The following is a 13,193-nucleotide window of genomic DNA, read 5'->3' as shown; positions in this document are numbered from 1 at the left end:
GGGGGGGTGGCACGGCCAGGTCGTGGCACCTGAAAGGGCTGTGTTCCCAGCTAAGCGGGTTCTGCTGCGGGCTGGCGCGGGCATCATCTCGGGCAGGTTACCTCACCTCCTCCAGACTCAGCTTCCACATGTGTAAAATGGCACAACAGTTTGTCTTCCTCCCAGGGTCTGGTCGAAGGTTAAGTGGCATGACTTACATGGAGTCTAGTCAGTAGATTGTCTAGTCATTATTCCTAAGCTGAGTGGGCCTTGGGGGCATTGGAAGCTGGACATGGGGGATCCCTATGTGGCCTGATGCCCTCTCCTGCCACCCCTGCAGCCAAGCAGCATGAGCTGATGACACTGGATGGCTTCATGATGTACCTGTTGTCGCCGGAGGGGGCTGCCTTGGACAACACCCACACGTGTGTGTTCCAGGACATGAACCAGCCCCTTGCCCACTACTTCATCTCTTCCTCCCACAACACCTATCTGACTGACTCCCAGATCGGGGGGCCCAGCAGCACCGAGGCCTATGTTAGGTACTGTAGCAGGGGGTGAATGTTTCCGGGAGCCCCACCTGGGGAGAGACATGGGCTGGCTTCCTGGGGCCTTCCTGGCCCAGCCTGCCTGCTGCCCTGCTCTGTGGCACTCTGGCAACACCTTGCCCGTCCACCCATCTGTCCACACACAGGGCCTTTGCCCAGGGATGCCGCTGCGTGGAGCTGGACTGCTGGGAGGGGCCAGGAGGGGAGCCCGTCATCTATCATGGCCATACCCTCACCTCCAAGATTCTCTTCCGGGACGTGGTCCAAGCCGTGCGCGACCATGCCTTCACGGTGAGCCCCTGGGATGCCCAGCCCCAGCCCCACAGCCTTCCCAATGACCTCCGTCCGCACTCACATGCCAGCTGCCCTCCGTCCTTCCAGAGGAAACCCTTGCCCAGAGAATCATTCATTCACCAAGTGCTGCTGGGATAAGTGGCCAATGGGGTGGCATAAAGCTGAATGAGATGCCACCCTCATATTTGGGAAATATGTTCCCTCTCTCATATTTGGGAAATGTCCTAAAAATCACAGAGTTTCCAGAAGAAAACCTTTGGGGGAGGGAAGGACATTTTAATCATGACTTCCAAAGAATAAATAAGCTGTAAGAGAAGCTCACCAGTGGCATCTGCATAAACACTGCAACTTTGGTCACAGTGTGCAAATCTTCCCATCAGCAAATGATGGGAGGAGAGTTTTCACATCACTGACATAGTCAATGTCATTCACATGTAAAAAGCATTTATGGGACCAGGTGCGGTGGCTCACACCCGTATTCCCAGCACTCTGGGAGGCTGACGCGAGGATCACTTGAGGCCAGGAATTCCAGACCAGCCTGAGCAAATAGCTACATCCTGTCTCAACAAAAATAAAAATTAGCTGAGTGTGGGGGCATGTGCCTGTAGGCTGAGTTACTCAGGAGGCTGAGGTGGGGGGATCACTTGAGCCCAGGACTGGAGAACACAGGGAGACTGACTGTGCCACTGCACTTCAGCCTGGGTGATGGAGAGAGACCAAAGCATAGACAACAACAACAAAAAATCGGCCAGGCGTGGTGGCTCTCACCTGTAATCCCAGCACTTTGGGAGGCTGAGGTGGGCAGATCACCTGAGGTCAGGAGTTTGAGACCAGCCTGGCCAACATGGTGAAACCTCATCTCTATTAAAAATACAAAAATTAGCCGGGTGTGGTGGCGGGCGCCTGTAATCCCAGCTACTTAGGAGGCTGAGGCAGGGAGAATCGCTTGAACCCGGGAGATGGAATTGTAGTGAGCTGAGATTGCACCACTATACTCCAGCATGGGCGACAGAGCAACACTCCATCTCAAAGAAAAAAAAAATAATTCCTGCAGCCGCCCTCAGCCTCCTGGACAGTCTGCTGCTTCCCTGGGTTCTCCAGAGCCCTGCCTTTGCCTGCCTGTCCTGAAGGGTCTGGGAGCCAGATGTTGGGAGATACTGGCAGAGGGAGGGGAGTGGCTCTGAGCTGCTGCCCTTCCCCCCACAGCTGTCCCCTTACCCTGTCATCCTATCCCTGGAGAACCACTGCGGGCTGGAGCAGCAGGCTGCCATGGCCCGCCACCTCTGCACCATCCTGGGGGACATGCTGGTGACACAGGCGCTGGACTCCCCAAATCCCGAGGAGCTGCCATCCCCAGAGGTGACGCCCCCCAGCCCCTAGCCTGGGTGGAGGGAGGTCTGGTGGGAGTCCGCCTCCCCGCACTGCTCGTGCCACCTCTGTGGCTCAGGACCCCTCACCTCTTGCTGCCTTAACTTTTCTCTGTTCCTCTGTTCATCTGAGGTCTGCCATCCCCTGGTCTTGTCCTTCTGCTGCCCTCTGGCTCTCCATTCTTGACTAGACCCCCCCACACACACACCCTCTTCTGTAACCTGGCTTTGCCCTGCTGGCCCTGTGTCCCTGCCCGTAGAGTCCTGCAGGCTCTGCCATTCCCACCTGCAAGGCCCCGCTTGACACTTTCTCCACCTGGAAGTCCCTTCTCGGCCATCCACACTTGCCAAGCGTCACCTGCTTAGAATTCAGCTCAACTTCAGCCGCCTCTTCCTGTGGCCTTATCCACTTCCCCAACTCTCGGGCCTGAGGCGGCCTCCTGCTCTCCCCCAGACACCAGAGCGCGTCCTCGGCTCTCTCCAGACATTTATCCTGTCGGGCTCCTTGAGAAAACTCTCCTCCTACTTCCAATCCCCAACATGCAGGCAGGGTTGACTCACCCTCGTGTGTGTGTGAGATGTGATTTTTGTTATTACTGTGAAAATCACACCCGTATGGTAAAAGAAAACTGAGCTGTACTAAGGGACGCGATGAGCAGTGCTCCCCTCCCTCCACTGACCTGTCCTCTTTCACAAGAAGTAACCATCTCTAACTTTCTTGCATGTCCTTCAAGAATTTCCCCACACACATTACCTGTGTACATATGTGTACTGTCTTCTCTTTTAAATGGTACCAAAAAAGGACATGTGATTCCAGGTTGTAGCCTCACTTCTTCCACGTAAGATCTTCTTTGAAGAGGGTCCCTTTCCTTTCAGTCCTGAGCTGTCGCGTGCATTGTAGTGGCTGCTGTGTATATTCTGATGTTGAGGGACCTTATTAAGCATCCCTTCCTGATGGCCTCCCGGGCCATTCTCCACTCTTTCCTATTAGAAACATCGCTCATCTCTGTGTCTCCTTTCCTGCCTCCCACCCCTAGCCAGCCCCTCACAAGGCGGTGGTTGAATAACTGACTGACTGGCTGCCACAGGGGCGAGAAGGCCTAACCCTTCATCCTCCACGTTGGCCCCCACAGCAGCTGAAGGGCCGGGTCCTGGTGAAGGGAAAGAAGTTGCCCGCTGCTCGGAGCGAGGATGGCCGGGCTCTGTCGGATCGGGAGGAGGAGGAGGAGGATGACGAGGAGGAAGAAGAGGAGGTGGAGGCTGCAGCGCAGAGGCGGCTGGTGAGAGCTGGGATGGGTGGGGTGGGGAAGGGGGGGAAGGTGGGAGGACGGATGTGGGAAGCGGGGGCCAGCTGAACCCCGCTGAGCCTGGTCTCCTAGGCCAAGCAGATCTCCCCGGAGCTGTCGGCCCTGGCTGTGTACTGCCACGCCACCCGCCTGCGGACCCTGCACCCTGCCCCCAACGCCCCACAACCCTGCCAGGTCAGCTCCCTCAGCGAGCGCAAAGCCAAGAAACTCATTCGGGAGGCAGGTAGGAGCTGGGGCACTGGGTGTCTGGGGGCGAGAGGGTGAGAGACCTCCTGAAGGGAGTCTGGAAAGGAGTTGAGGGGGCTTTGGGGGACAGTAAAGAGGTCAAGAGGACCCCAAAGAGGGGCTGGGCTGAGGGAATGAGGGCCCCGCACATGCCAGGGTGGATGGAGGGGAGTGGCACGCTGAGGGCGGCCTGCTGTCTGCCTTCAGAGCCCTGTGGTGGGGCCGGCCATAGAGGGTGATGGGTCAGGCTGGGCTGGGGGCTGGGGGAGCCCAGCAGCTGCTGCAACACTGGGGAGGAATTCCTGGGGCAGGTGATGCTGAGAGGACACATCACCTGGAGGACTAGGAAGCAGCCAGGTGAAGAGGGGAGAGCGCTTTCCAGACAGGAGGAACAGGTTGTTGAAGGCCTGGGGCCTTGGCCTGGAGAAGAATTCCAGGAACCACAGTGGAGCTGGAGGGCCGTGGGCATTCAGTGTACTTGGTTGGAACTTTGTCAGGAGCTGGGAATTGGGGGCTGGGGATGCAGGGCCAGGCTGTGTGGCTGGAGGGGGTCCCTGCAGCCTCCTCAGTGAGCTCCCCTCTCACTCTAGGTCAGAAGAGAGTGAGGAGCGGGGGCAGGGTGACCTGGGGACGGGCTTGGGCTCTGTTCCCTGGAGGTTACAGGCCGGGGCTTTGGGTGAGGGACCCCCGGAGTCTGTCACGGTCTCACCCCAACTCTGCCCCAGGGAACAGCTTTGTCAGGCACAATGCCCGCCAGCTGACCCGCGTGTACCCGCTGGGGCTGCGGATGAACTCAGCCAACTACAGTCCCCAGGAGATGTGGAACTCGGGCTGTCAGCTGGGTAAGTGGGGGCCACAGGAATGAGAGCAGGCGGGGTGCCACAGTGTGGGGGAGGCCTCAGCAGTGAGGGGCCCACACAGCCTTCCAGACGGTGGAAACACGCATTTTGTTGATTATTTTTAAAGTTGCCAGCAATGTAGGTGGGAAAATCAAATCAGGCTCGTTTGTTCTTGACAGTGTACAGGTCTCGCATTTTTATCATGGTAGAAATTAAAATCTCCACTCCCATGTCCCCCGGACACACACAACCCCCACACACCTGGCAGTCCCACTAAGTCAACACTGACAAGGGTGGGCTCTGGGGGACGCTGAGCCCCACCAAAGGAGGGCTGTATCGTCTCCTTGGGGTAAGGATGGAAACCCCAGGCTTCCTCAGACCCCTGGCTCTGACCCAAGCCTGGCCCTGAGGGTGGGGGCTTTTTTAGTACCTCCCACCCCAGTCTTGAGGGATCCCAGGGCAGAAGTACAGGTGACAGTGGGGGCTGGGTCCATGACCCCCTCCCCTAAAGTCATGGTGGGAGCAGAGCAGCACTAAGCAGACAGTGGGACCCCAGGCCCTTTGTAGAGAGGAATGCAGTCCCCTGAAACTGAGTAGTGAGAACAGGGCCGCTAAGAGCCCCTGCTCTGACCCTGCTGTGTCCACAGTGGCCTTGAACTTCCAGACGCCAGGCTACGAGATGGACCTCAATGCCGGGCGCTTCCTAGTCAATGGGCAGTGTGGCTACGTCCTAAAACCTGCCTGCCTGCGGCAACCTGACTCGACCTTTGACCCCGAGTACCCAGGACCTCCCAGAACCACTCTCAGCATCCAGGTCAGCAGGCTGGAACGGGCCCCAGTGTGGGGTCAGACTGGTTCTAGAAAGGCTCTTTGTGAGGTGGAGGAAGGCAAGGGAGGCTGGGGACATTTGGAAGTGAGGGTGGTGTGAGCTTGAGGCCCATGAGGGGATGGCCAAGGTGGGCGTGGGCCCCAGCCACTCCCTCCCTCACCCACAGGTGCTGACTGCACAGCAGCTGCCCAAGCTGAATGCCGAGAAGCCACACTCCATTGTGGACCCCCTGGTGCGCATTGAGATCCATGGGGTGCCCGCAGACTGTGCCCGGCAGGAGACTGACTACGTGCTCAACAATGGTGGGCAGCCACTGGCGGAAGTGGGGTTGGGGGAGACTGCAGAGAGCGAAGGGTGGTGCAGGGTGGGTCCTGGGGCCCCTGGGCTCTGACTGCCATCCCTGTGCCCTAGGCTTCAACCCCCGCTGGGGGCAGACCCTGCAGTTCCAGCTGCGGGCTCCGGAGCTGGCACTGGTCCGGTTTGTGGTGGAAGATTATGACGCCACCTCCCCCAATGACTTTGTGGGCCAGTTTACACTGCCTCTTAGCAGCCTAAAGCAAGGTTGGTGGAGGCTGGTGGGGATGGAGAGGGATGTGGGTCCAGGTCCTGCAGACCCTGTTCACCTTTGTGCCTCGAATTTCCTGCCCTGAAGCAGGCCCGGGCTGGGCCAGACCCCCAGGGTGCACAGAGGACCTGAGGCCTGGCTGTCCTCCCTACAGGGTACCGCCACATACACCTGCTTTCCAAGGACGGGGCCTCACTGTCACCAGCCACGCTCTTCATCCAAATCCGCATCCAGCGCTCCTGAGGGCCCACCTCACTCGCCTTGGGGTTCTGCGAGTGCCAGTCCACATCCCCTGCAGAGCCCTCTCCTCCTCTGGAGTCAGGTGGTGGGAGTACCAGCCCCCCAGCCCACCCACTTGGCCCACTCAGCCCATTCACCAGGCGCTGGTCTCACCTGGGTGCTGAGGGCTGCCTGGGCCCCTCCTGAAGAACAGAAAGGTGTTCATGTGACTTCAGTGAGCTCCAACCCTGGGGCCCTGAGATGGCCCCAGCTCCTCTTGTCCTCAGCCCACCCCTCATTGTGACTTATGAGGAGCAAGCCTGTTGCTGCCAGGAGACTTGGGGAGCAGGACACTTGTGGGCCCTCAGTTCCCCTCTGTCCTCCCGTGGGCCATCCCAGCCTCCTTCCCCCAGAGGAGCGCAGTCACTCCACTTGGCCCCGACCCCGAGCTTAGCCCCTAAGCCCTCCTTTACCCCAGGCCTTCCTGGACTCCTCCCTCCAGCTCCGGAACCTGAGCTCCCCTTCCCTTCTCAAAGCAAGAAGGGAGCGCTGAGGCATGAAGCCCTGGGGAAACTGGCAGTAGGTTTTGGTTTTTATTTTTTGAGACAGGGTCTCGCTCCGTCGCCCAGGCTGGAGTGCAATGTTGCAATCATGGCTCACTGCAGCTTTGAACTCCCAGGCTCAAGCGATCCTCCCATCTCAGCCTCCTGAGTAGCTGGGACTACAGGCACAGGCCACCAAACCTGGCTAATGTTTAAATTTTATGTAGAGATGGCGGGGGGGGCGGGGGTCTCCCTATGTTGCCCAGGCTGGTCTCGAGCTCCTGACCTCAAGTGATCCTCCTGCCCCAGCATTCCAAAGTGCTGGGATTACAGGTGTGAGCCACTGCCTGGCCTGGCCGTAGGTTTGTAACTGTTTCATAGAAGAGCCCTGGAGAAGACAGTAGAATGAGCCTATCTAGTTTAAAAAATAAAGAAGCACGTTGATTTCACCACCGCCACTCCCTGAGCACCTCTATGCTGCCACCCCCACAGGCCCATGAGGAGGGACAGGGCTGGATGAGTTTCTTGGGCCTCTCCCCTCAACAGGGCATGGACTTGGCTAAGACAGCCAGGGGGTGGCAGCAGGAGATGCCACAGCTCTAAATAGCCCGATCCCTGCTCCTGGCTTAAAGCTGCTGCGAGTATCACAAGACTGTCTGAGGATGCCAATTCAGCAGGTCAGCGCCTCCCCACAACACACACACACACACACACACACACACACTCACACATACACAGAGGGGCCTTGAATGAGGAGGAGACAGGAGTCTGAGGGACCCTCAGACTGCCACTCTCCAGGCTTGGCTGGGCTCAAGGCCCCTGTCTGCTCAGTAGGGCAAATCCCAAGGACACGGGCTTCCCTTCCTCCAGCCAGCCAGCCTTTTACACAAAGGCTGGAAACGCTGCTTGGGCCGCCTCTATAGAAATGCCAGGAGAGCGCACTGGACACTAGGCGACAGAATCTGGAGAAAATCCTGCACCCGCCCCTGCCAGCAGGGTGAAATGTGGAGGCCTGGTGTTTTAGGTTCTGCCAGCCAACAGTGCCGGCACTGGACAAGGGCAGAACTTGACATTAGTCCCCAGAGGGTGGCCTGGAACTGGGCTGGGATAGGCCTTGAACTGGCCCCAAGCCCCACAGAAACCAAAACACAGGGCTGGGGCAGACTCCACCTTCTAGCAACTCCAAGAACTAATGCAGAAAGTGGCAGTGTCCCCCGCTCCTTCATGCTGGGAGTGGCGTTTGGCTCTGGTTAATTTGTGTGTCTGAAAGAGGATAATCAGAATCAAAAGGGCCCAGAAGGAATGGGCCGAGCCAGGCGGGCCGGGCCAGGCAGCCCGGGCATCTGGCACTCAGGGCTGTCAGAGGGTCAGGCTGCCAAACTGCAGCCTCAGGATGGGAGGCACAGTGAGGCTAAGTCCAGTTTTAGCAAATGAAGAGCCATTAGCATTGCCCAGCCCCTGCAGAGCCAGGTCTGGCCAGGGGCTGGCTGGGGGGTCTGGGTCAGGTGAGCACCAGACCCAGGGCTGAGTGCCCATCCTGCTTGGCTTCTCTGGTTTCGTATCTGGTACCAAGAGGAAGGGGTGAAGGCTAGGATGAGGGCCCAATACTGAGAAGGCTGCCTTGAAAGGGCAAGAGTCTTTTTTTTTTTTCTTTTGAGACAAAGTCTTGCTCGTCCCCCAGGATGGAGTGCGATGGCGTGATCTCGGCTCACTGCAACCTCTGCCTCCCGGGTTCAAGCGATTCTCTTGCCTCAGCCTCCGGAGTAGCTGGGATTACAGGCGCCCGCCACCATACCCAGCTAATTTTTGTATTTTTAGTAGAGACGGGGTTTCACCATGTTGGCCAGGCTGGTCTCGAACTCCTGACCTCAGGTGATCCACCCGCCTTGACCTCCCAAAGTGCTGGGATTACAGGCGTGAGCCACTGCACCCAGCCAAAAGGGCAAGAGTCTTTAAGGAAGTGAACTGGGAAGCAGAAGCAAGGGAGAAATCACAGGGTTTTTTTTTTGTTTGTTTTTTTGAGATGGAGTCTCGCTCTGTCGCCTAGGCTAGAGTGCAGTGGCACGACCTTGGCTCACTGCAAGCTCCGCCTCCCGGGTTCACACCATTCTCCTGCCTCAGCTTCCCAAGTAGCTGGGACTACAGGCGCCCACCACCATGCCCGGCTAATTTTTTTGTGTTTTTAGTAGAGACAGGGTTTCATAGTGTTAGCCAGGATGGTCTCGATCTCCTGACCTCGTGATCCACCCGCCTCGCCCTCCCAAAGTGCTGGGATTACAGGCGTGAGCCACCATGCCCAGCCTGAAATCACAGCTTTTTATCCCAGAGGCCCATGGGTAGAAACAACACATAGGGCTATGTTCTCTCAGCCCAAAGCTAAGGGCAGGAAAAAAGGCATGGGCCATAGGAGCCTGAGTGACTTGGTTTGGGACAGGAGGGTTGGGGGGCTTTAGAGGGGTCAGGCAGGTCCTGTGTCCTCTCAGTTTCCCTGGAAAGGGGCTTGGAGGCACCAGTCATGGACCTGAAAGGATCAGGGGGTCAGGGAATGGGTAAGTTCCAGAGGATGAGAAGAGGGGGAATGGGAAGTCTTAAACACAGCTACTGGGGCCCAGCAACTTGCCATGTTAAAATGCACCCCTAGTGACTCAAAGAACCACCCGGCCAGTGGTGCAGGAGGAGAGATGTGGCACCTGGGCACAGTGGGAAGGCACGGGGCCTGCACCTCCACCAGAGGAGCCACTGCTGACCTGGACCAAGGGGGCTGCTCTGTGCCCAGCTAGGGAAGCCTGGGCCGGCTCCTGTGCTGAGGTGCTCAGGTGCTGGCTGAGAGCCCAGTTGCTGCTCTAACTTGGAGTGAACCTGGGTCAATAGCAGCTCGTCTCTGGCGGGTGGGAAGGGTCTGACAACACCAAGTTTGCCCTGGAAGAAGGGCAGCCTTAAAGGAAGGCCTTTGGAAGCTGGCCTGGTGCTGTGGGCTTGAGGGACTTTGTGTCCAAGCCCTGTCGTCCTGGCTCCAGCCTAGGCTCCAGCACTCCATTTCTTCCACTGCCACCTGCTGACCAGGAATACCAGGACAGAAGGTTTTGTTCAGCTGCTTTCTTTATTAGAAACAAGTGAGATGTATTGAGCAGAACAACAATGCATTTGGTATTTCCTCCCCGACCCTGGAAATGGATGCCCCCCCACAGCCCAAAGAAAAGCCAAGACAAAAAGGTGAAGCTCCCCCGTCCCTGTTCCCAGACATGGCACCTGCCTGCCAGCCAGTCAGTATTTTTTAATTTAATGGAATGAAATTGTCCTCAACAGCCTCCGTAGGTGTAGTCGGCTTGCAGGCCCGCCTTCATTTTGCAGCAGAGTAAAACTGAAGCCTCAGGCCTCCCCTGGTTCTGGGGAAGGTGGGCCAGGCCATCAGAAGGCTGCCTCACAGGTGGGTAGGCACTGACGGGAGGGACACTCCTGCTCCCTCCCCTGATCTAACATCTGGTTCCCCTCCTTCTCCTAGAGTGCAGCTCCATGCAGTTGTCCAAGGCCTTTGGGCCCTTAGGTTGGTTAAATGCTGGTCGTCTTTGGGGAAAGAATTCAGGACCACAGGGACTCCCCTAGGCTTCTGAGAGCCAGCAAGTAGGGGGGCGACAGCAGTTAGACAGGAGTTGTGGGGAAGGCCTGACATTTTCCATAAACCTGGTGTTAAAGTAGCTGGGTGTGGGCTGGCCTTCAAATAAGACAGAAGCCTCTTCAGAAATAGGCATGTGTGGGGAAACGAGCCCTATACAGGCCTCGATCCGGAGTGGAGGCCTCCTACTCAGCTCTCTCCCTACACACAGACTGGAGTCCGTGGTCAAATGCAGAGTCAATCCAAAGGCAGGAGGTAAAGGTCGTCTTTGAAACATGGCAGCTGGGAGGACTGGGTGGCAGAGGGTGGGGGCCAGGCCCAGGGAGGCCTTCCAACAGCAGTTGCTCGAGGACGGTTAGCGTGAAGGCCTCAGGGTCCTTCCTTTGCTTGGTTTGAGACAGCCATGGCGCTACCACACTGCAGGGCTCCTGTGGGGAGGCCCTGACCCCCGGGATGGTGCTCTCTGAGCTGAAGTCCCAGAAGGGGTTGAATGAAGAACGCAGGGACTACTGGGACAAAAATCAGATGAGCAGCAAGCAGCCCACAAGCCAAACCCTGCACACCTGGGCAGAGTTCTCACCGCAACATAAAGCAGAGTCCGAGGAGCCGGCCACCTGGTTTCAGTGAGGGAGATGCTGGGGCCTTTGCCAGGAGATCTGTTTCTTCCAGAACAGCCACTGGGGCCTCACCGTTTCCATTCCATGACCTGGGTCAACCGAAACAGAGCTCACTCCAGAGATCCGCACAGCCCAAATCTCAGAGGCAGCTCAAGCTGGGACCTGGCCCAGAACAGATCAAGACTAGGACAGGGAGCCTTTCCAAGTTCCAGGTTCCCCCAAGGTAGGAAAGACTTGGGCACTTTGTCCTTTGATATCCTCAAAGGTCTGGACAGGGTGAGCCACTCTGGGGCTTGAGGCACTGTGCAACTGTTGTCTGTGGGGCTGCAAAGCAAGCCCCTGCCTCTCCGACTCCTCCCACCTGTGGAATGCAGTGCGCATCTTGCTAAGAACAGCAGCTTCTTTGGTCTCAGTTTCTTGGAGTCAAGGAGCAAACGTCAGTCACGATTGCTGGGGCCTGCAATTTGCAGCGCAGGAACAATGGGAAAAGGGAGGGCCCTGCAGGCCCCTGATGAAAATCCACCTTAGTGGAGTTGCTGGCTCTAGCAGCAGTCTGCAGAGCGGGCAGCATTCCCACGGGTGGCACGGCCCCCATCCCAAGCATACGATGTCTTCTGGTTTTGGAAACTCTGCAGAATTAGCCTCTGACAAACCACACCAAAACCCACAGCCTGCAACAAGCCCCTGCTGGCCTGTAGAAAGTGGCTTCGGTGAGTGGCACAGGGCTGAGCCTGGCCTCCTGGCTAAGGCTTCATTCCTGTATGAGCGGAGAGGTGACGGCAGCAAGGAAACCCGCACACCACACGTCATGCTACCTCCTTCCCACCACTTGCTTCTCTCTAGAGCAAAAATTACATCCAAGCCTGGAAGTACAATTTCACAGCCCAATTTTGCCCGGTCACTTGGCTGAACACCACTCCAGAATGCCTACATCGACAGCCATGTGACCAGAGGCTTGATTACGTTTTGGGAAACTGGCAGCACTGACAACCATCACTACCACAAAAATCCACAAAACAGCATCAGCGAAAATCAGACTCAGACAATGGAGATGGGAAACCACTTCTGTTGCCAAGTCCAGATCTGCCTCTAATCACTTCTTGCTACCACTTGCAGGCTGTATCTTGGAAAGGGGCACAACAAGAAATGGCTAATGGGTTGGAAGGCACAGGCCAGGGGCTGGTGGCTGAAGGGGTCTGGGTATTGGCCCCACGCCACTCCTGCCTAGCCACCCCAGGGACATCAGGGTGCTGGCTCTTTGCTCTAAGATGAGCTAAGCAGGGCTTACACTGATAATGGTCTCCAAAGGTCCCTGATGTTACAAGGAGGTCCAAGGGCCTCTTCAAACTGCATCATCCCAGGCAGTGGAAAAGCAAAATCTCACAGGGGACTCATCCCTATAAGGTTGGCAACAACTGGCTAAAGAGCCCTTTTAAATCAGTTGGCAGGATGACTTCCTACAGGGAGCAGGCCAAGGGGATGGAAGAAAGGACTCAATCAATGAGGTCTGCTTCTGCGGACCGTCCATTGCTTTGTCTCAGAATGCAGGCAGGTCTGGCCCTGCAGGAAAGTCCCTGCCCAGGGTCAGCCCCAGCCAAGAGCTCCACGTGCTATCCCATGAGATCTGAGCCTGTTCCATCTTCCCTTCCTTCTCAAAGCCAGTCATCCCAGCTGATTCAGAAGGGGAGCTGGATGAGGTTCTCCAGATCCTCTTTTTCCCCATGATAAGCCAATGTCTCCTCTGGAGGAAACCATGAACTGTGCCAACGCGTCTGTCTGCCACTGTCCTCGGGTCCTCATTCTGAGGAATGATCTGGATTCAGCTTTTCATTAAAGACCAAACATCCTTGTACATTTGGAACATGAAAGATATTTAAAATATTTATATATATATAATATATATATATACTTTTATTATTCACCCGTTAACTCCATTATATGCCAATCACGAGCTAGTTTTCAGCAGTTACATTCCCTTGATCACGGCTGCATGAGGATGTAATTAACTGGAAAACACGGAGACCAGAGACACGACCGGAGGTGACGTCACGCAGCCCACGCCATCGCAATACAATTGTCAAGTTCGCTGGCGGTTTGGTAAAGCCGGTTCAGTTCTGCTCCCTTTGCCAGGGATTCTCACGTGTGTGAAAATTGGACCAACAGTGGTGGGGTTCCATTTCCTGGTTCGAATTTTCAGTGGCTTTATCCAGAATCGCACTGGTGACTGGTTATTGTAGCACCAGTCCAAC

General features: G+C 56.7%; 2 protein-coding genes and 1 non-coding gene across 5 annotated transcripts in view, besides 4 other annotated features; 2 read left to right on the top strand and 1 right to left on the bottom strand.

Moving 5' to 3' along the window:
• The window catches only part of PLCD3 (phospholipase C delta 3), a 23,557-nt gene extending 13,704 nt beyond the window's left edge, over positions 1-9,853 (top strand). Inside the window, exons 6-15 of one of the 3 annotated variants that reach the window (NM_133373.5) lie at positions 320-521; positions 674-818; positions 2,028-2,180; positions 3,322-3,468; positions 3,568-3,718; positions 4,446-4,562; positions 5,207-5,373; positions 5,555-5,690; positions 5,800-5,949; positions 6,108-9,853. In NM_133373.5, the coding sequence (NP_588614.1) occupies positions 320-521; positions 674-818; positions 2,028-2,180; positions 3,322-3,468; positions 3,568-3,718; positions 4,446-4,562; positions 5,207-5,373; positions 5,555-5,690; positions 5,800-5,949; positions 6,108-6,196 (1,457 nt within the window). In that variant the 3' untranslated portion in view covers positions 6,197-9,853. The other 2 variants (XM_024450554.2, XM_011524253.4) reach the window with 2 other exon arrangements.
• Positions 3,420-4,285: an enhancer, noted in NCBI's record as "H3K4me1 hESC enhancer chr17:43191895-43192759 (GRCh37/hg19 assembly coordinates)". NCBI's record gives its function as "activates a minimal SCP1, AML or CMV promoter by ChIP-STARR-seq in naive H9 embryonic stem cells {active_cell/tissue: H9 hESC(naive)}" and the evidence as "EXISTENCE:reporter gene assay evidence [ECO:0000049][PMID:30033119]".
• Positions 4,379-4,445, top strand: MIR6784 (microRNA 6784). Its single transcript, NR_106842.1, has one exon. It is a non-coding gene; the product is annotated as a microRNA 6784 (primary transcript).
• Positions 5,152-6,016: an enhancer, noted in NCBI's record as "H3K27ac-H3K4me1 hESC enhancer chr17:43190164-43191028 (GRCh37/hg19 assembly coordinates)". NCBI's record gives its function as "activates a minimal SCP1, AML or CMV promoter by ChIP-STARR-seq in naive H9 embryonic stem cells {active_cell/tissue: H9 hESC(naive)}" and the evidence as "EXISTENCE:reporter gene assay evidence [ECO:0000049][PMID:30033119]".
• Positions 6,017-6,882: an enhancer, noted in NCBI's record as "H3K4me1 hESC enhancer chr17:43189298-43190163 (GRCh37/hg19 assembly coordinates)". NCBI's record gives its function as "activates a minimal SCP1, AML or CMV promoter by ChIP-STARR-seq in naive H9 embryonic stem cells {active_cell/tissue: H9 hESC(naive)}" and the evidence as "EXISTENCE:reporter gene assay evidence [ECO:0000049][PMID:30033119]".
• NMT1 (N-myristoyltransferase 1) overlaps positions 9,796-13,193 on the bottom strand; it is a 47,700-nt gene continuing 44,302 nt past the window's right edge. The window contains exon 12 of the mRNA NM_021079.5: positions 9,796-13,193. Coding sequence (NP_066565.1) covers positions 13,173-13,193 — 21 coding nt within the window. The 3' untranslated portion in view covers positions 9,796-13,172.
• Positions 11,452-11,953: an enhancer, noted in NCBI's record as "H3K4me1 hESC enhancer chr17:43184227-43184728 (GRCh37/hg19 assembly coordinates)". NCBI's record gives its function as "activates a minimal SCP1, AML or CMV promoter by ChIP-STARR-seq in naive H9 embryonic stem cells {active_cell/tissue: H9 hESC(naive)}" and the evidence as "EXISTENCE:reporter gene assay evidence [ECO:0000049][PMID:30033119]".

Source organism: Homo sapiens, chromosome 17 (assembly GCF_000001405.40).
Source record: "Homo sapiens chromosome 17, GRCh38.p14 Primary Assembly".
Lineage (NCBI taxonomy): Eukaryota > Metazoa > Chordata > Mammalia > Primates > Hominidae > Homo > Homo sapiens.
This window is presented reverse-complemented; position numbering and strand designations above follow the sequence as displayed.